Source organism: Homo sapiens, chromosome 19 (genome assembly GCF_000001405.40).
Source record: "Homo sapiens chromosome 19, GRCh38.p14 Primary Assembly".
In the NCBI taxonomy this organism is placed as follows: domain Eukaryota; kingdom Metazoa; phylum Chordata; class Mammalia; order Primates; family Hominidae; genus Homo; species Homo sapiens.
The window spans coordinates 9361971-9383089 of record NC_000019.10 but is presented as its reverse complement, the minus strand read 5'-3'; the positions used below and the strand labels follow the sequence as shown (position 1 = coordinate 9383089).

The following is a 21119-nucleotide window of genomic DNA, read 5'->3' as shown; positions in this document are numbered from 1 at the left end:
TCAAGTGATCTGCCCGCCTTGGGCTCCCAGACATGCACCACTGCACCTGGCCTAGAGAGAGAGATTTTTAAAGAAAACAATTTGGCTGGGGGCGGTGACTCACACTTGTAATCCTAGCACTCTGGGAGGCCAACACAGGCAGATCACTTGAGATCAGGAGTTCAAAACCAGCCTGGCCAACATGGCGAAACCCCACCTCTACTAAAAATACAAAAAAGTAGCTAGGCGTGGTGGCATTTGCCTGTAATCCCAGCTACTTGGGAGGATGAGACACGAGAATCACTTGAACTCAGAAGGCGGAGGTTGCACTGAGCTGAGATCACACCACTGCACTCCAGCCTGGGCAACACAGCAAGACCTAATTATTCCTTTTTTGGTAGAGATGGGGTCTCACTGTGTTGCCTCAGCTGATTTCAAGCTCCTAGACTTAAGTGATCCTTCTGCCTCAGAAAACACAATTTTTCAACCATACTTGAACGATTCCTAAAACTTGACCATTTATTAGATGTAACAGTTGGGACTGAAATCAGCTGAAAGAGGAACTTCCCACAAGAGTGGTTTAAACCACATGGCAGTTAATTTTTCTCATGTAACATGAAATCCAGAGATAAGCAGCACAGGATTAGTGCAACCAGATAATATTGTATCTCCCCTGTTGTTTCATTTAGTATCCTTTCTCTGTCCTCCTCTTGGTGTATATATTTTCTAGGAAATAAGGGACAAGACAAAGGGCAAATAGTTAAGAAAAAAACACCAGATGAGATATTCCCATTTCCATGAGCTTCCTTAGCAGCTGTATCCAGTGACTTCTGCCTACTTTGCATGGGCTAGGGATGTGAACATATTTGGCCGCTCACAGCTGTAAGGGAAGCTGGGTGAAAACTGTCCACATTGCCAGCTTGAACTAAATGGTAAATTTTATTACTTTAAGAAAGAAGGGAGGAATGGATATTGAGACAGCAACTAGTTCTGTCTGCCACAGTACATCAGTCAGTGTCCAGCAATTATGTTCAAATCTATGTCACACAGAATCTACATATTGAAGACCATGTGTTCTGTTCACAATGCAATTAAACTGAAAAGATAACTAAAATATTCATAGGATCTACAGTTGTGACACATATAAGAATGAAATACTCACTGATAAAAACAATCATAGCTATAACATTTATAAGGTTTGTCCCAGTATAACAGGCATCCAGAGTTGGGCCAGAAGGCTGTTTCCAGGTGACCATAACAGGGCTTCTCTCCAATATATGTTCTAAAGTGAGAAAGGAGGCATGAGGGGCAACAAACACTTCCCTGAGTCATTTCATTCATGGAGTTTCTGGCCATTGTGGATTCGCTTGTGCATTATAAGGTTAGTGCTTGTGCTAAAGGCTTTTTCACACTGAATACATTTATAAGGCTTCTCTCCAGTGTGAGTTCTCACGTGTACCCTCAGGCAAGAGGAATTCCTAAAGGCCTTCCCACATTCTTTACACTCATAGGTTTTCTCACCAGTGTGAGTTCTCTTGTGCACAATAAGGTAAGAGCCTGTGCTGAAGGACTTTCCACACTGGTTACACTCATAAGGCTTCTCTCCAGTGTGAGAGCGTGTGTGTTTCTTAAGGGATGACTGATCGATGAAGGCTTTTCCACAGTCACTGCATTCATAGGGTTTCTCTCCAGTGTGGGTTCTCACATGTTTCTGAAGGGATGAAGGAACAGTGAAAGCCTTCCCACATTCCTTACAGTCATAGGGTTTCTCTCCAGTGTGAGTTCTTTTGTGCACATTCAGATGAGAGCTCTGGCTAAAGGATTTTCCACAGTGATCACACTCATAAGGCTTCTCTCCAGTATGAGATCTCATGTGTTTCTTAAGGGAAGACTGAAAAATGAAGGCTTTCCCACAGTCACTGCATTCATAGGGCATCTCTCCAGAGTGAGTTCTGACACAGTTCTGAAGGGACAAAGGGTCAGTGAAAGTTTTCTCATGTTCATTACATTCCAAACCCTCCTCCACACTACCAGTTTTTGTGTGGACACTAAGGGGAGATATTTTGCCATAGTCACTGCATTCATCACCTTTCTCTCCAGTAGGTATTTGCTCACGTACTGAGCAGGAAGAGTGTAGGCTGAAGGACATATCACATTGCTCATACTCCTGAAACTTCTGTCCTGTGGGAGTTCTTAAGTGTTTCCTGAGGGATGACTCTTGATTGAAAGCTTTTCTACAATCAGTAAATTCAAGAGTTTTCTCTCCAATGTGAATGCTCACATGACTCCTAAGAGTTGAGGGATGGTTGAAGACTTTGCTATACTTTATATATTTATAGCATTTCTCTCCCTTGCAATATCTTGTACAAATAAAGCGAGTGTTCTTTCTGAATTTCCCACAATGGTTACACTCCAGGGAGTGCTCACCAGGTTGATTTTCTGCCTGTTGAAAAGGGAGTAAGTGGTGACTAGAGGCTTTTTCACTTTCACCTTATTCACAGGAATTCTCTTCCATGAGGATTCTGCCATATATAGGAAGCACATGATCATGACTGACATGTGTACCATTTTCAGTAGGTGCGTATGACTTTTGCCCTATTAGCTTTTTCGAGTTGAATAAGCTCACTCCTCTGTCCAAGGCTCTATTCCTTCCCAGCAAAGGGCTTCTTTAATACAGTTTTTCTAATACTGAGTGAAGAATGAATGAATTATGTACTAAATACTTAACTCTAAAATCATATTTACATAGATGTTTACTTGTGGTTATTCTCTGTGAGCCAGCAAGTGTTAACCTAGGTTTACAGATTTCTCCAATTTCATGAAAATCAAACTCCAAACTCTCCCGAGACAGCTTTCTGGTGAAAGCCTGGTGCCTGAATTCTTACCCCTGCTTTGGGTGCTGATGTTTTAACTCATTCAGATTCCCAGACTTCTACTACAAAGACCAGGAATACTTCCTAGTAAGTCTTACCGTGTTTATGCCATTGGATGTTTTTCCCCCAGGAATGTTCTGCATAGCAATTGTATCTTTTGGTTTAAGTTGAGTTTCCCAGTCTGAAATAGCACAGGAATTTTTATAATTATTGGGAGAAAAGGTTGGGATCAAAGAAAAAGGGAGGGAGACCCTATGGATTTGTTTTCAAATAATATCTTCTAAGTAGAGAAATGTAAGAAAGAAGACACAACCAGTGATTCACCAGTGATAGGAACAAGCAGTAGAAATGGGAGGTATTTTAGTTAGAAAGGATTGTGGAGGTTGGGAAATAAGACAGTATTATCTGGCAAAAAGCATTCATGGAGACATTACATTTAAAGAGGAATTAAAACTTCTTTCTCGGAGACCAAATGAACGTATGAACGATTGAATAGATGGTGAAACAGGAAGGAAGCTCATGTCATGGCCTCAGATTTCTTTTCCTTCACTGAGTGACATTCCCAAATGTACTAACCCTCACTGGCCAAGGCTGCACCCTGTTCTGCCCAAGGCTCACCTGCACAGTCACCTTGTAAAATTCCTCTTTCATCTGTCTTCAGCTGTTCTTGATCCACCTTGGAGATCAGACTGTGTCTGCAGAGCTGATACCCTGCTCACGCAGAAAGCAAGGATGTGGGAGAAATGTGTGAGAATTAAATATTCCACAAAACTGATTGCCATACTTTGGCTTTAACTAAAGGATTATTAAAATAGTCAAGTGCAGCTTTAGGAACAACAAAACAATCAGAGCCGAGCTCTTTCTTTCACAAGAACCAAAAAGCATGGTCCACGCCCTATATGGAAGTGACCCTTGAAACCTATACACAAGATGAGACACAGATTGCAAATTACCTTAAGCTATTAGTGATAGAGAAAATGAAATCAGTGCATTTTCATGGGAAGCCACTGGACTGCCCCCTCAAGGGCAGGGACCATTCATTTTGGGGTTAACCACTGTATTGCTATTCTTTCCACAGATTCTGGAACATAATATGTGCTTAAGAACTATTTGCTACATAAACAAATGAAGAAATGAGGCCAGCCTTACCTACTGAGGCCAGGTTCCTAAAGTTCTCCAGCATCACATCTTTGTATAGATTTTTTTGAGCAGGGTCCAGCAATGCCCACTCCTCCTGGGAAAAGTCCACTGCCACTTCCTGGAAGGTTACTGAGTTCTAAAACATCACATACATATTCTGGCTCAGCCAATGACCATTTTTGACAATGTACCAGGAGAATGGTGGGTGAGGCTGACAGGACTGGAGAGGAGACTCAGGGCACTGGAAGCTCAGACATGCATCAGAGGCCTTCTCTTAATTTGCCTTAAAGCTGAGTTCTCAGAACTCTCTTTAAATCCTACTCCCTGGGCCATCTCATTCAGGGTCATGGTCAAAACAGCTTTTCTAAAATATGGTTGGCTTGATCTTTGCACAGTTAGGTTGTGAGGACTCTTTTCGTCTTATTCAGATCCAGTATAGACAGGGCATACTGTAGGAATGCAAGAAATACTTGAGAAATGATAAATAATTTTCCTAGTAAAAGTCTTTCTTTACAGCACTCACTACAGTATGGAATTCATACTCAAAAATATGGAAGAATATCTGGAGAAAGTTAACAAATGTGGGAACAGAAGCCTTTCCCAGGGATTCCCTCTTCCACATGAAGCAGCCTGGGAGCTGCGGAAGATGAAGCCAGCTCAGATTGGGCTGTGAAGCTTCAGGTCAGGGGCAAGAGATGTGTTCTTTTCAGGAATGGCAGTGTGCTTTTGGAAATAGAGAAATTTCTTGTGTACCTGTGACCAGGTTGTCAGCCACCCTGCAGCCATTCTTCCTCCTGTAGGTTTCCTTCCTGGCTGGGCAGAGTCCTAAGCAGGCAGAGCTAGAGGAGAACACAGAAGCCATTAGAGTCTAGGCCTGCTAGATGTTCAACACTAGCAGGCTGGGAAGCTTCTTCTTACTAAAGGGTAACAACATACACATAGAGTGTAGTTACAATTTGCCTCCTTATCCAAGAACACAGTATATCCTCAAATTAGAAATATAGTATGCATTTTTCATTTTTTCTTGGACTTTTTTCTAGCCTGAACCACTAAAAAGGCTTATGACTGCTAACAGCTCAGGAGGAATGAGCCTCTAAAGTGCAAAACTGTCTCTGAATATCATTTACCCGTGACAGAAACCAGGACTCACTGGAGAAATAGCTGAGTCTAGTATAGACTAAGAAATCTTCAAGATGAGTTTGGAATATCTTATATCACACCCTCACGTTCCTCATTGTTAGAATGGGACCAATTTCATAGGGTTGGGCTGAGTTAATATCCCGAAATTACTTAGAACAATAAGGAGTAACTCATAAGGACCATAAAGGTGAGCATATTTGCATTTCATAATAAAAGGGTGACATTCCAGAACAACATTTAGTACACTTAGCTGTATATGTATCAAAATCTAGTGCTGCAAATCTTATAGCAGAGCTAGGACTCTGTCTTCTTAACTCAGTAGCCTACCTTCCAGGCCCTTTTTGCCTGCCCGATTTTACTTTTTAAACTTTTTTGTTGTAAACGAAGACACATACGCATTAATCTAGGCCTAAATAGGGTTAGGATCTTGAGTATCACTGTCTGACACCTTCTACCGTGTCCCACTTAAGGTATTCAGGGGCAATAACATGCACGGAGCTGACATCTCCTATGGTGACAATGACTTCTAGAATGTCTTCTGAAGCATCTGCTTGAGGCTTGTTTTTGAGTTAACTTTTCTTTTTTAGTAAGTAGAAGGAATACATTCTAAAATAACAATAAATAGTATAAAAATATATAAACCAGTAATGTGGTCACTTATTACTATTCATTATTATGTACTGTATATAATCTACTGTACATAACCATATTTACTACTGTTACATGACTGGCAGTGCAGCAGGTTTAAATGACAGACATGTGAGTAATGTGCTTTACAATGTTACACTGGCTATGTCATTAGGTGATTGGAATTTTTTAGCACTATTAAAATGTTATGAGAGCACTGTCACATATGTGGACCATCACTGACCAAAATGTCTTTACACAGTGCATGACTGTACTGCCAACCAAGAATGTTTTACCTGCCAAAAATGGCCTTCAGAAATGAAGGAGAGATAAAAACTTCCTTGGACAAACAAAAGATGAGGGGCTTCATCAGTAATGGAGCTGATTTATAGGAAATAGTAAATTCTTCAGCTTAAAAGAAAGGACACTTAGTAACATGAAACCATATGAAATTATAAAACCCACTGGGGTAAAGGTAATTATATACTCAATCCAGATTACCCTAATACTGTAACAGTGGTATCTAAATAACTTATCTCTAGTGTAAAAGATTAAAAGATAAAAATATTAAAAAGTTATAATAATTTGTTAATATACAATATAGAAAGATGTAAATTGTGACATCAAAAACATAAAATGTGGGAAATGGAAGAGTATAAATTGTTTGTATGCAATCAAAGCTAAGCTGTTAACAGCTTAAAACAGACTATTAAAACTACAGGATGTTTTAAGCTTCATAGTAGCCACAAAGCAAGAACCTATATTATGGAGAAAAGAGAAAGAAATCAAAGCGTATCACTACAGAAAGTCATCAAATCACAAAGGAAGACAAGGGAGGAAGAAAGCAACAAAACATCTGTACAACAGCCACAGAAGAATGAACAAAAAGGCAACAGTAAGTACTTACCCATCAATAATTACTTTAAATATAAATGTACTCAGGAGGCTGAGGCAGGAGGATCACTTGAGAGCAGGAGTTTGAGACCAGCCTAGGCAACACAGCAAGACCGCATCTCTACAGAAAACAATTTAAAAAAATTATTTGGGTGTGGTGGCATCTGCCAGTAGTCCCAGCTACTTGGTGGGCTAGGGTGGGAGGATTGCTTGAATCTGAGAGTAGTGGGAGTATGATCATGCCACTGCACTCCAGCCTGGGTGACAGAGACCCTATCTCCTTAAACAAAAAAGTAAATGGATTAAGTTCTCTAGTCAAAACACATAGTGGCTGACTGGATTAAAAAAGAAAGACCTAAGGTATATGCTGCCTACAAGAAGCTCACTATAGCTTTAAGAATGCATGTAGCCCGAAAGTAAAAAGATGGGAAAAGACATTCCACGTAAATGGAAACCAAAGAGAGCAAGGGTGAGTAGGAAAGATCTTATACCAGCTTAATGTTACACCTCAAGTTACTAGAAAAAGCAGCAGCTAAGCCCAAAGTCAGTAGAAGGAAAAAGAAACTAAGCCCAAAGTCAGTACAAGGAAGGAAATAATAATAAAGATCGCAGCAGAAATAAATGAGAGACTAGGAAGACAATAGAAAAGATCGATGAAACTGAATGTTGGTTGTATGAAAAGATAAACCAACAAAAACCTTTAGCCAGACTACTTAAGATTAAAATAGACAAGACTGAAGTAAAACTAGAAATGAAAGAGAAGGCATTACAACTGATAACCACAGAAATATAAAGGATCATGAGACCATAATGAAAAATTATATGCCAAAAAATTGGATAACCTAGAAGAAATGAATAAATTCCTAGAAATATATAACCTGCTAAGACTGAATCATAAATAGAAAACCTGACAAGATCAATAATGAGTAAGGAGATTAAATCAGTGAGGAAAAATCTTCCATCAAAGAAAAGCCCAGGACTTGGTGGCTTCACCGTTGAATTCTACCAAACATTTAAAGAATCCTTCTCAAACTCTTCCAAAAAAATGGAAAAGGAGCCCAACCAAACTCCTCATTAAACTCATTTTATGAGGTCAGCATTACACTGATACCAAAGCCAGACAAACACTGTAAGAGCAAAAAACTACAAGCCAATATCCCTACTGAAAATAGATGCAAAACTCCTCAATAAAATACTAGCAAACCAAATTCAACAGTACCTTAAAAGGACCATACACCATGATCAAGTGAGATTTATCCCAGAAATTCAAGGATAGTTCAAGATACGCAAAATCAATGTGATACATCACATCAACAGAATGAAGGATAAAAACTATATCATCATTAGAATAGATGAAGAAAAAGCACTTGGTAAAATTCAGCATTCTTCTGTGATAAAAACCCTCAACGAATTAGTTACAGAAGGAAAGTACTTCAACACCAGTAAAGGCCATAGGTGACAAAACCACAGCTTACAGCCAATTATAAAAAATTGAAAGCTTTTCCTCTAAGATTGGGAACAAGGCAAAGATGCCCATCCTCACCACTTCTATTCAACATACAACTGAAGTTCTAGCCAGAACAATTACGCAAGAAAACAAAAGGCGTCTACGTTGGAAAAGAAGTAAAATTATGTTTGTAGATGACATGATATTGTATCTAGAAAACCCTAAAGACACCATGAAAAAATGTTAAAACTAACATGTAAATTCAGTAATGCAGGGTAAAAAAAAATCAACATACAAAAATTAAATGTATTTCTAACAAACTATCTAAAAAAAACTATGAAAATAATTTCACTTATAATAATATCAAAAAGAGTAAAATACTGACAATAAATTTAACCAAGGAGATGATCTCAACACTGAAAATTCTAAAACACTGGTGAAAGTAGAAGACACAAACAAATGGGAAGCCACCCAGTGTTCATGGATTGGAAGAATCAATATTGTCAAATGTCACACTATGAAAGGTGATCTACAAATTAATGCAATTCCTATGAAATTCCAATGATATTTTTTACAGAAATAGAAAAAACAATCCTAAAATTCATATGGAAACACAAAAACTCCAAATAGCTAAAGCAATCTTGAACAATACTGGAGGCATCACACTTCCTTATTTCAAATATATTACAAAGGTACTGTAATGAAAATAGTATGGTACTGGCATAAAAACGGAGACAAATGTAACAGAATAGGAAGCCCAGAAATAAACCCTGGCATGTATGGTCAACTAATCTTGGACAAAGATGCCAAGAATAAGCAATGGGGAGAGGACAGTCTCTTCGGCAAATGGTGTAAGGAAAACTAGATATCCACATGTGAAAAAGTGAAATTAGATCCTTAAACTACAAACAAAAATCAACTCAAAATGGATTAAAGACTTAAATGTAAGACCTGAGATCATAAAACTTCTAGAACAGGGGAAAAGCTCTTTGATATTAATTTTGACAAATTTTTTTTTTAAAGAGTTGACACCAAAAGCACAGGCAAGAAAGGCAAAAATAAGTGAAACTACATCAAACTAAAAAGTTTCTGCACAGCAAAGGAAATAATGAACAAAATGAAAAAGCAACCTTATGGAATGGGAGAAAGAATCTGCACAATATTTAAAATATTTACGAAATACATACAGTTCGATAGAAAAAAATGGAATAAAAAATGGGTAAAGGATCTAAATAGACAGTTTTCCAAAGAAGAAATAAAAATGGCCAGTAGGTATATGAAAAAGTGCCCAACATCACATTATTAGGGACGTACCAATCAAAACCATAGTTGGCTGCTACCTCACACTTGTTATAATAGATATTATCAAAAAGTCAAAGGATAACAAGTGTTGGATGTGGAGAAAGGGAACCCTTATACATCGTTGTTAGAAGTGAAAATTGGTACAGCCATTATGGAAAGCAGTAGTGGAGGTGCCTCAAAATATTAAAAATAGAACTACCATATGATCTAGCAATCCTGCTACTGGGTATATAACCAAAGGAAGTGAAATCAATATCTTAAAGAGGTATCTGTGACCTCATATTCATTGCAGCATTATTTATAATAGCTGCTATATGGAAACAACGTGTTTGTCGATTGCTGAATGCGTAAAGAAAATGTCATATATATACACACAGTGGGTTATTCAGTCTTAAAAAAGAAGGAAACCTGGAGAACATCATGCTAAGTAAAATAAGGCGGACATAGACAAATACCGCATGACCTCACTTACATGGAATCTAGAAAAGTCAAACTCCTAGAAGCATTAGAAAGGTGATTACCAAGGGGCAAGGGAAATGGGGAGATGTTGGTCAATGGGTATGTATTTGCTGTTATAAGATGGCTGAGTTTTGGAGACCTGATGTATGGCTTGGTGACTATAGTTAATGATGTACTGTATATTTGAAATTTTCCAAGAGAGTGCATCTTACAAAAGTAAGTGAGGGGATGGATATGTTAATTAGCTTGACTGTGATGATCATTTCAGAATGGACAGGTAGATCAAAACATTATGTTGTACACCTTAAACATATATAATTTTTATTATTTGTCAATTATACCTCAAGAAAGCTGGAAAACCATGCTTCAGAAAAACAAAACTGGCAGGGTGTGGTGGCTCACGCCTGTCATCTCAGCACTTTGGGAGGCCAAGGTGGGTGGATTGCTTGAGGTCAGGAGGTTCAAGACCAGCCTGAACAACATGGTGAAACCCTTTCTCTATTAAAAATACAAAAATTAGCCAGGTGTGGTGGCAGGTGCCTGTAATCCCAGCTACTCGGGAGGGGAGGCAGGAGAATTGCTTGAACCTGGGAGGCAGAAGTTGCAGTGAGCTGAGGTCATGCCACTGCACCTCAGCCTGGGAGACAGAGCAAGACTCCATCTCAAAAAAAAAAAAAAAAAAAAAAAAGGAAAAGAAAGCTCAATGATGAAAGGAAGCAAGGGAGAGAACAGATGTAATAAGAATGGCAAAATGGTGACAATCATTGAAGCTGGGTGGTAGGTACATAGTGGCTTTATAGCACTCTATTCCTAGGTATGACTGAAAATCCACAGTGAACAGTTTTTTAAAAAGAAAGTAAAATTTCCATATGAAAGCGTGAAGCAAGGAACTGTACCCATCAGGTATAATAAAAAGCAAATCTCTCTTGAGGATCTGTATACACAAGTGCTCTCTTTTAGATTTCAGTCCAAATTCATTTCTGTAGTTCAAACAACCTCAAGGGAATAATTTCACTTAAAGAGGGTCCTAAGTGGCATTGTCCCCAAGCAACTAGTGCAAGCAAATCGACCTATCTCTGGAAAATCAACTTTAAGTCAGGTCTTGAGAAAAAATCTTATATACAAAGTTCTAAGTAAATTGAGGAAGGCACAGTTTAAGAAATTGTGAAACACAAATACACAATGTACCATGTGTAAGACATAGCTAACACACAGGTGTCAGGTGGTAAAAAGCATAACACTTTGGATATTACCCTTTTAGATATATTTTAAAATATATAAAAGCTTAATAAAAATTTGAATGGATATAGATTAAGATACTATAAAATGGTTAGTTTAAAAAACAATTTTTAGAAATGAAAAATAAACTCACTGAAATGAGAAATTCAGTGCCAGTATTAACTACCAGATCAGAACTTTGATCGCACTATTAGATGAAAACCTAGCAATTTTCTTGAATTAGTGAAAGACACTAACCTTTGGGTACTAGAAGTATCATAAGCCCCCAAGCTGAATACATAAAAAGAAATCCACATCTAATTTCATTATAGATTTTTCTTCCTTGGTATTTGATTTTTTCCCATAATTTCCAAAGCAGCCAGGGGAAAAACACAGGTCACCTATAAAAGGAAAAACAGACTGATAGCTGACATCTCAACAGCAACAATGGACGTCAGAAGAAAGCAGGACAATGTCTTCAGTATGCTGAGAAAAAAATAACTTATCAACCTAAAACGCTAGACAAACTATCTAACTACTCTTTATAAGAAATACAAAGATAACCAGGTTAAGCAATGAAAACAAACCAGTCAGCAAAATCCATATATGATGTGGGACATTTTAAGAACAAATAACTTTATTTCTTCAATAAATCAGTGGATTAAAAAAATGAAAAGGGAGGAGGAAGAGAACAGACACAATAGAAACTTAAGGGGTCTAAAATAAAAAAAAAATGTTGGGACCCTGTTAAGATTCTCATTTGAACAAACCAAATGTAAAAAGATATTCTGTAGCCAATCAGGGAACGTCAGACTTTGTTAGGTGGGATAATGGAGTAGTGGTGATGAACCAACTAGAGATGCACAGTTAGTAATATACTGATGAAATGACAGGATGTCTGGAATTTGCTTTAAAAACAAATCTGGGGGGAAAACCCAGCATTATTCAATATTTATTTGCAGTATCTAATACAGTAACCACTAATCATGTACGGATAGCTACTGAATACTTGAAATGAGCATTTAAACTTCAATAGCCACATGAGGCTAGTGGCTACTGTATTGGACAGCTCAGCGCTAGATGATGCAAGATGTGCAAAATATTGGTAACTGTCAAAGCTGGGTGTTAAGGACATGAGAATTCATTATACAGTCAGCCCTCTGTATCTGTTGGCTACTCGACCACAGATCAAAAATATGTGGAAAAAAGATGAATGCTTGTGTCTGTACTGAACATGTAGACCTTCCCCCTTGTCATTATTCCTTAAACAATACAGCATAACTATTTATGGCCCGGCACAGTGGCTCACACCAGTAATCCCAGCACTTTGGAAAGCTGGGGCAGGAGGATGCCTTGAAGCCAGGAGTTTGAGACTAGCCTGGGCAATAAAGCAGCACCCTGTCTCTACAAAAATATGTATCTATTTTAAATTATCCAGGCGTGGTGGCGCATGCCTGTGGTCCCAGCTACTAGGGAGGCTGAGGTGGGAGGATTACTTGAGTCCAGGAGTTTCAGGCTGCAGTGAGCTATGATCACACCACTGTACTCCAGCCTGAGCAACAGAATGAGACCCCATCTCTTAAAAAAAAAACAAAAAAAAAACAAACCAACCACTTACATAACACTTATTGTACTAGGTACTGTAAGTAATCTAGTGATGACTTAAAGTAAATGGGAGGGAAAAAATAGCATCTATGGGAGGATGTGTGTAGGTTCTATGCAAATACAATGCTATTTTATATAAGGAATTTGTGACTGTGGAATTTGGAAGCCATGTGGGGGTCCTGGAACCAGTCCCCCATGGATATGAGAGACAACTGTACTATTCTACTTTTGTGGAGAATTAAAAATTTTCATGATTAAAAGCTTAAGAAAAATAAATGGAGAGTCAAATAAAGGCATTTTAAAATAAAGACCTGAGACAACTTACCCATCCAAAAAGACCATCACAGAAGTAACTTAAAAGTACTTCAGGAGATAGGAACTGGAAGACCCAAAATGTTAAGTAGAATGAACAAAGGTAAAATGGATAAAATTAAGCAAACCTTTATTATATAAAATGGTAATAATACCAAATTCGTGACATGGAAAAATAAGCTCAATCCTAATACTAAATAATATATAAATTGGGAAGGAGGTGATTGAGTAGTATGTTCCTTGTATTCTTCCACTGGGGACTCACAATATTGATTAGGTTTAGACTGTAAGTATGCATGATAAAATAGCTAGGGTAACAATTCAAAGGATGGACATAGTGAGTTTAACTCACAGTCTAGAAGAGAAAATGGAATTAGGTTAAAAAAAAATCTCAATTCCAAAGGTAAGAAAAATAAGGGAAATGAAACAAAAAAAATAGGTCAAATGAAAAGCACAATGTAAAATGTAAGATGGTAAAAAATGTCTGACTGTATCAATAACAGTAAGTGTACAGATGGGCTAAATTCTGCAGTTTAAAAACAGACTGTCCTGGTAGATTAAGATAAACTAGCTCTATGTTATTTCATTAGATGCACTAAAATCCACAACAACACATAAAAATTGAGTCTCAAAAATAAGAAAGATATACCAGGTGAATATTAACCAAAATAAAGTTTGTTTGCTAAATTAATTTCATAGATTTTGAGACAAAAGGCACTATTAGAGGTAATGACATGAGGATGTAAAGTACCAATTAGGAAGATATAAAATTCTAGTCTCATAAAACTTATAAAGCAGAAGCTAGCACAATTAAAGGATAAATAACACAAATCATCACTATAAGACTTTCAAACACTGCTCAGCAATAGAAAGATCATATGAAAAAAAGGATATGAAGATTTGAACAACACAATGAGTATGCTTAATCTAGCACACTGAGGGACACTACTGAATGTATGGAGTATACATAGATTCTTGAAGCACACATGAAGTGTTTATAAAAACTGACCATACTGTATGGTGAATATACTGTAAAGCCAGTCTTAAACCTTCCAAATTTGGTATATAAAACATCTCATGGGCCCCTTAAATATATATACCTACTATGTGCCCACAAAAATTAAAACTTAGAAAAAGATTTGGTATACAAACATGTTCTCTGACATGTCTTAATTACAATGTAACTAAGTTGTAAGTTAATAACGAGATTACATTGAACTATATGAAATGGGTGTTTTGGTAGTTTTAAAATATGGTTGAATATTAGTGGTTTCATATTTTTCAAGCAAACAGAAAAAAGTAACACATTTGGAATTCAGAAAACATCACACTTCCAAATAACTTATGCTTTTATAAAAGAATTGAATTAGAAAATACATAATACTATGGTTATTGATTAGTTCTAAGTACCACAACTTGTAGAATGTAGCTAAACTGGTCCTTAGGAAAAAAATAAGCTTTATATGTTTATATTAGAAAAGAAGTGAACTTAAAAATTAACTTAAGCAGCTGGAACGGGAAGAGCAGAAAATACGATGATGAACTAGAAAACAACAGTATCACTCAAGCTACAAACTGGTTCTTTGAAAACTACTAGGAAAAAAATCGGGCAAAATTCTTCAAAGACAAAAGGAGAAAAACACAACTACAAATGTTGCAGAGATTAACAAGACATGAATAACTTTAATCAAATTCAAAACTTTCAGGAAATAAATTGATTCCTACAGAAATACAACTTACCAAAACTGTGTAGAAATTACAATAAAAAGAACTAGCTGGTGATGGTTGAGTAACACTGTGAATGCAATGAATGCCACTGACTTGTACATTTAAAAATGATTAAAATGGCAAATTTGGCTTTAGGTATTTTACCACAATTTAAAAAATATAAAAGAAGAATCTAGACTGATCCCGTCAGCAAGGTGCTAGGTCTTCCCAGCTTAACTCACTGCCCAGATATTCTTTTAAAACAGAAAACAAAACTAGATTATTTAGGTTTTCACCAAAAAACACCATGCTCAAAGGCTTTATCAGTCAGTTATGCCACTCAAAGAAGAAAGAATTCCAGTCTGGATGAAAATATTCCAGAGATTAGGCATATTTATGAAGACTGGTTACTTAAACTACACTTCAATGTAATTTGTCACTAATGTTTGCATTATTTCAGGTATAGATAACTTATCCACTCTATAGGCAAGAGCTGGGTATCTGGAAGGTTTTATTTAATATAGCCTTTATGCAAACCCCAGAATTGTGTATGGTTCAAAATGTCATGTTTGCCTTTGGTTATTCTATTAACAGCAGTTTACAATATTACAAGGGAAAAAAATATGGTCACTTTTAAACTAATTTCACAAAACAGTTTAACTTATCAAAGGGATTACCGTGATTAAGAGTATAAAAGGAAGAATATTCTTTGAGATTGGCATACTGATATCAAACATGACAAGGCCACTTTAAGTAAACAAAATTATAGGCAAATTTCAACATAGATTCAGATATTCTAAGGAAAATAAGTCCAAACAAAAAATGTCAATAAATAGGAAATATAGTACAACAGAATTAAGTTAGGTTTACCAGAGGAATGCAAGAGATGCTTGCTATTAGAAAATCAATATAATTTGCTTCATTAATAGAGCAAAAGAAAAATTGTATGATCAACTCAAAGTGATAAAAACCAGTATCACATAATGATTTCAAAAATAAATTTTTTCAACCTGAAAACTTTCGGGCTGAATTTAATTCAGCCAGCTTATTTATTTTTATTTTTATTTTTTTTTTGAGACACTCTTGGTCTGTTTCCCAGGCTGGAGTGCAGTGGTGCGATCTCTGCTCACTGCAACCTCGCCAGGTTCAGGTGATTCTCCTGCCTCAGCCTCCCAAGTAGCTGGGACTACAGACGCGTGCCACCACACCCAGCTATGTTTTTGTATTTTTAGTAGAGACGGGGTTTCACCGTGTTAGCCAGGATGGTCTTGATCTGCTGACCTCATGATCCGCCCGCCTGGGCCTCCCAAAGTGCTGGGATTACAGGCGTGAGCCACCACGCCCAGCCTCAGCTGACTTTTGAAAACACAATTCAAAGATGGGCAAATGATCTGAATGTACATTTTTCTAAAGATAAAAAGGTCAACTGCACATGAAAAGATGCTGAACATCATTAGACACCAGGGAAATGCAAATCAAAACCACATTAAGATACCACTTCACACATTAAGGTGAGTGTAATTAAAAAGACAAGTGTGGATGAGGATGTGGAGAAATTCTCTTGTTTTTTTGTGGAGGGGAGTGAAGTGGGAAGTGGTGCTGCCACGTTGGCAAACAGCCTAGCATTTTACCAGAAGATTAAACATAAAAGTTCGTCTCATGAACAAGGCATTCCACTCCTAGGTATATACCCAAGAGAAATATTCACAGCAGCATTATTCATATTAGCCAAAAAGGAGAAACAACCCAAATGTCTATCTACCGATGAACGGATAAATGAAAATGTGGTATATCCATACAATGGACTATCATTTGACAATAGAAAATGAAGGCCAGGCATGGTGACTCATGCCTGTAATCCTCAGCACTTAGGGAGGCTGTAGTGGGTGGATCACATTAACCCAGGAGTTCAGACCAGCCTGGTAACACAGTGAGATCTCATCTCTACCAAAAATTTAAAAAAATAGCCAGGCTTGGTGGCCCACACCTGTGGTCCTACCTACTCGGGAGGCTAAGGTGGAAGGCCGAGCTAGGGAGGTCGAGGGCACCACGGCACTCCAGCCTGGGTGACAGAGAAAGACCTTGTCTCATTAAAAAAAGGAATGAGGCTAGGCACGGTGGCTCACGCCTGTAGTCCCAGCACTTTGGGAAGCCAAGGTGGGCGCATCACGAGGTCAGGAGATCCAGACCACTCTGGCCAACATGGTGAAAGAACGTCTCTACTAAAAATACAAAAATTAGCCGGGTGTGGTGGAGCATGCCTGTAATCCTAGCTACTTGGGAGGCTGAGGCAGGAGAATCACTTGAACCCGGGAGGCAGAGGTTGCAGTGAGCCGAGATTGCGCCACTGCACTCTAGCCTGGCGACAGAGGTAGATTTGGTGCTGTGACTCAGATCTGGGGACCTCCCTTGGGAGATCAATCCCCTATCCTCCTGCTCTTTGCTCTGTGAGAAAGATCCACCTATGACCTCAGGTCCTCAGACCGACCAGCCAAGGAACATCAATCCAATTTTAAATCAGGTAAGTGGCCTCTTTTTACTCTCTTCTCCAACCTCTCTTACTATCCCTCAACCTCTTTCTCATTTCAATCTTGGCGCCACACTTCAATCTCTCCCTTCTCTCAATTTCAGTTCCTTTCCTTTTCTCGTAGACAGGAGACGTGTTTTATCCATGGACCCAAAACTCCGGCGCCGGTCATGGACTCGGGAAGACAGTCTTCCCTTGGTGTTTAATCATGCGGGGACGCCTGCCTGATTATTCACCCACATTTCAGAGGTGTCTGACCACGTGGGGATGCCTGCCTTGGTCCTTCACCCTTAGCGGCAAGTACTGCTTTTCTGGGGGCAAGAACCCCCTGACCCCCTTCTCTCCATGTGTCTACCCTTCTCCGCTTTTCTGGGGGTCAAGAACCCCTGAACCCTTCTCTCCATATCTCTAGCCCTTCTCCACTTTTCTGGGGTGCAAGAACCCCCCGGTCCCTTCTCTCTGTGTCTCTACCCCTTCTCTGCTTTTCTGGAGGACAAGAAGCCCCCACCCCTTCTCTCCATGTCTCTACTCTCTCTTTTTTCTGGGCTTGCCTCCTTCACTATGGGCAAGCTTCTGCCCTCCATTCCCCCTTCTCCCTTAGCCTGTGTTCTTAAAGACCTAAAACCTTCCTCCTTATATCAACTCTACTCCCCCCATATTTAGACCTCTCACAACACAAACTACTATTCCTGTGGCAGCTCCTTTATGTATCTCTCAGCAAAGACCCACTGGAATTCCCCTAGGTAAACTTTCACCTTCTCGATGTTCCTTTACTCTTCATCTCCAAAGCCCAACTACACACATCACTGAAACAATTGGAGCCTTCCAGCTCCATATTACAGACAAGCCCTCTATCAGTAGTGGCAAACTTAAAAACATTAGCAGTAATTATTGCTTAGGAAGACACTTACCCTGTATTTCACTCCATCCTTGGCTACCTTCCCCTTGCTCGTCAGACTCTTCTCCCAGGCCCTCTTCTTGCTTACTTATACCCAGCCCTGAAAATAACAGTGAAAGGTTGCTTGTAGATACTCGACGTTTTCTCATACACCATGAAAATCGAACCTCCCCCTCGACGCAATTACCTCATCAGTCCCCATTACAACCTCTGACGACTGCCGCCCTAGCTGGATCCCTAGGATTCTAAGTACAAGACACCCCTTTCAGCACTCCTCATCTTTTTACTTTGCATCTCCAGTTTTGCCTCGCACAAGGTCTCTTTTTCCTCTGTGGATCCTCTACCTACATGTGTCTACCTGCTAATTGGACAGGCACATGCACACTAGTTTTCCTTACTCTCAAAATGCAATTTGCAAATAGGACTGAAGAGCTCCCTGTTCCCCTCATGACACCGACACGACAAAAAGAGTTATTCCACTAATTCCCTTGTCAGTTTAAGACTTTCTGCCTCCACTATTGCTCTCGGTACTGGAATAGCAGGCATTTCAACCTCTGTCAGGACCTTCCATAGTCTCTCTAATGAATTCTCTGCTAGCATCACAGTCATATCACAAACTTCATCAGTCCTCCAGGCCCAAGTTGACTCTAGCTGCAGTTGTCCTCCAAAACCGCCGAGGCCTTGACTTACTGCTGGAAAAGGAGAACATCTGTATATTCTTAAATGAAGAGTGTTGTTTTTACCTAAATCAATCTGACCTGGTGTATGACAACATAAAAAAACTCAAGAATAGAGCCCAAAAACTTGCCAACCATGGGGGAGTAACTGCTGATGAGTATGGGATTCTCTTTTGGGGCAATGAAAATGTTCTAGAGTTAGATTGTAGTCATGGTTGCACAACTCAATATACTAAAAACCACTGATTTATACACTTTAAATGAGATGAAATATATGATTTTATGTCAATAAAGCTGTTACAGAAGGGAATGTCTTTAATCTATCAAAAACACATAGCAAACATGTAAGTAGTGACAAGCTGAAAGCTTTCTTTCTGAGACCTGGAAGGCAGCAAGGATTGCTCCTTCTAATGTTTCGGAGGTCGTAGGCAGGGCAGTAAATTTGTAGGGCAGGAGTGGGTCGTAATAGGATTATAAAGGGAGAATAAAGTTCTTATTCATAAACGATATGTCAATATGTAAACATCCAAAAGAAACTACAGGTAAACTGAAAACTAAGGTCTGCTGCTTGCTGCATACAAAACACACCCTGAGGGCTCAAAAAAGCACAAGTCCCATAGAGGGGGATCTGGTCATACCTAGGAATTACACATTCATTTATGCTTTGACCCAACAACTTGACTTTCAAAAATAAACCTTGAAGACCTAAGTCCACAAATACGAAAAAACATGCACAAGCCCACTCAGATAGGAACTCAAATGTGTATCAGGCACTAGGGTGCATCCACATAACAGAGGGGAAAAAAAGGGACGATCTCCACAAACCAATAACGCGCATCCCAAGATATGCCTTCTAACAACGGAAAGTGAGGTCCAAGAGAGCATTTTCTTGAGAAAAAATAGTCTCCTACTGGGGACGACGTTTAAAGAGAAGGGTACAGAAAGTGGAGAAAAGGCCCCGCCGACGCACTCTGACCACATGAACCCACTTGCCTCCTCCCGGGAACCAATGCCCGGAATGGCAGCCCCAAGCCCAGCAGTGCCGGGAGGAACCAAAGCCGGCGGCCTCTGAGAAGAAACGCCGCGATAGCCGGAGGCTGGGGCGGGAAGCTGCAGGCAAGGTCTGGAGCAGCCGGGGCTGCGCACTGTGCCCTTGACCCCTTCCCTCCCGATTCCGCCGGCCTCACTAGTGGGGCGCACCTGGACCTGGCCTGCTGGGACAGCAACCCTTTCTCAGCTGCAGGCGACAGCTATGGGAGATGGCGAGGCGACGGACGCCCACTTCCGCTTCCGGCCAGCAGCTGAAAGGGGTGGGCTGCCCAGCTCGCACATTTGGCGGATTCGCCCTGAGGACTTGGGAACGGGGCATCGCAGGTGCTCCTGCTCCCTTAGGGCGAAGGCTGGGACTGTCTTTATTCATTGCATTAGAGTAAAATAAGAGGCACAAGCCAATTAACTTGCTTGGGTCTCAAAGCTAAGTAAAAGAGTCCACAGAACTAGAATCCGTACTGTCTTCCCCAAGGGAAAAAGCAAATGTCCCCAGAGGAAAATTGGACTCTGCAGCCGCAGAGGGAAAGGGGTCCAATTGCTCCCTCCCCTCTTCCTGACCAAAGGAAGACCCCCGAGGTCAGAGATGTTTTGGTCCGGACTCCAGTTTAAACAATTAAGTCCAGGTATTTAAAAAAAAACGGAGGGTCTCTGTGAGCACTTGAAATTATCCGCCAACAAAGGAGATCCTGTTTGGCCCAACAGGGTTTGACTCACATCTATATGATTGGAACCTTGGAATTAAAACTGAAAAGCTCAGTCCGGTGGTAGAAAAAAAGATGATTTTTAAATGGCTTTGGAGTTATTCACTGTTCAGACATCCCAAATCCAGGCTTTAAAAAAATCTCAATAGCCGCTCTTTGTCCCTTTTCCAGACACTCCCATGAATAAGATTCCTACTAGACAGAAGGATTTAAGAATGGTTAAGATAATCATTACTTTAAAAATTATTGTTTTGAGATTGAGCTTTGCTTGTCATCCAGACTGTAGTGCAGTGGCGCACTGTGGGCTCAGTGCAACCTCCGCCTCCCAGGTTCAAGCAATTCTCCTGCCTCAGCCTACCAAGTAGCTGGGATTACAGGCGGCTGCCACCATGCCCGGCTAATTTTTGTATTTTTAGTAGAGACGGGGTTTCACCATGTTGGCCAGGCTGGTCTTGAACTCCTGACCTCAAGTGATCCACCCGTCTAGGCCTCCCAAAGTGCTGGGATTACCGGCGTGAGTGCCCGGCCAGAGAATCATTGTTAATGTTATTCACTAGAGCCAT

At 39.6% G+C, this 21119-nt stretch overlaps 2 protein-coding genes across 6 annotated transcripts in view; both read right to left on the bottom strand.

Moving 5' to 3' along the window:
* Window positions 1-472: 472 nt before the first annotated feature.
* ZNF177 (zinc finger protein 177) lies at window positions 473-20077 on the bottom strand. 3 transcript variants are annotated; one of them, NM_003451.3, is made up of 9 exons: window positions 20006-20077; window positions 18142-18228; window positions 11338-11480; window positions 6667-6774; window positions 4746-4831; window positions 4002-4128; window positions 3471-3563; window positions 2951-3033; window positions 473-1942 (listed from the first exon to the last, which is right to left on the bottom strand). In NM_003451.3, the coding sequence occupies exons 5-9, from the start codon at window positions 4776-4778 to the stop codon at window positions 1313-1315; spliced, it is 966 nt and encodes a 321-aa protein (NP_003442.2). In that variant the 5' UTR covers window positions 4779-4831; window positions 6667-6774; window positions 11338-11480; window positions 18142-18228; window positions 20006-20077; the 3' UTR covers window positions 473-1312. The 3 variants fall into 3 exon arrangements, with proteins under 3 accessions (NP_003442.2, NP_001166122.1, NP_001371587.1); NM_001172651.2 differs by lacking the exon at window positions 11338-11480 and having other exon boundaries at window positions 473-2422; NM_001384658.1 differs by lacking the exon at window positions 11338-11480.
* ZNF559-ZNF177 (ZNF559-ZNF177 readthrough) overlaps window positions 473-21119 on the bottom strand; it is a 58439-nt gene continuing 37792 nt past the window's right edge. The window contains exons 2-9 of one of the 3 annotated variants that reach the window (NM_001202425.1): window positions 18142-18228; window positions 11338-11480; window positions 6667-6774; window positions 4746-4831; window positions 4002-4128; window positions 3471-3563; window positions 2951-3033; window positions 473-2501 (exon numbers count right to left, since the gene is read on the bottom strand). In NM_001202425.1, the coding sequence (NP_001189354.1) occupies window positions 2475-2501; window positions 2951-3033; window positions 3471-3563; window positions 4002-4128; window positions 4746-4778 (363 nt within the window). In that variant the 5' untranslated portion in view covers window positions 4779-4831; window positions 6667-6774; window positions 11338-11480; window positions 18142-18228 and the 3' untranslated portion in view covers window positions 473-2474. The remainder of the gene's footprint in view (window positions 2502-2950; window positions 3034-3470; window positions 3564-4001; window positions 4129-4745; window positions 4832-6666; window positions 6775-11337; window positions 11481-18141; window positions 18229-21119) is intronic. The other 2 variants (NM_001172650.3, NM_001384659.1) reach the window with 2 other exon arrangements.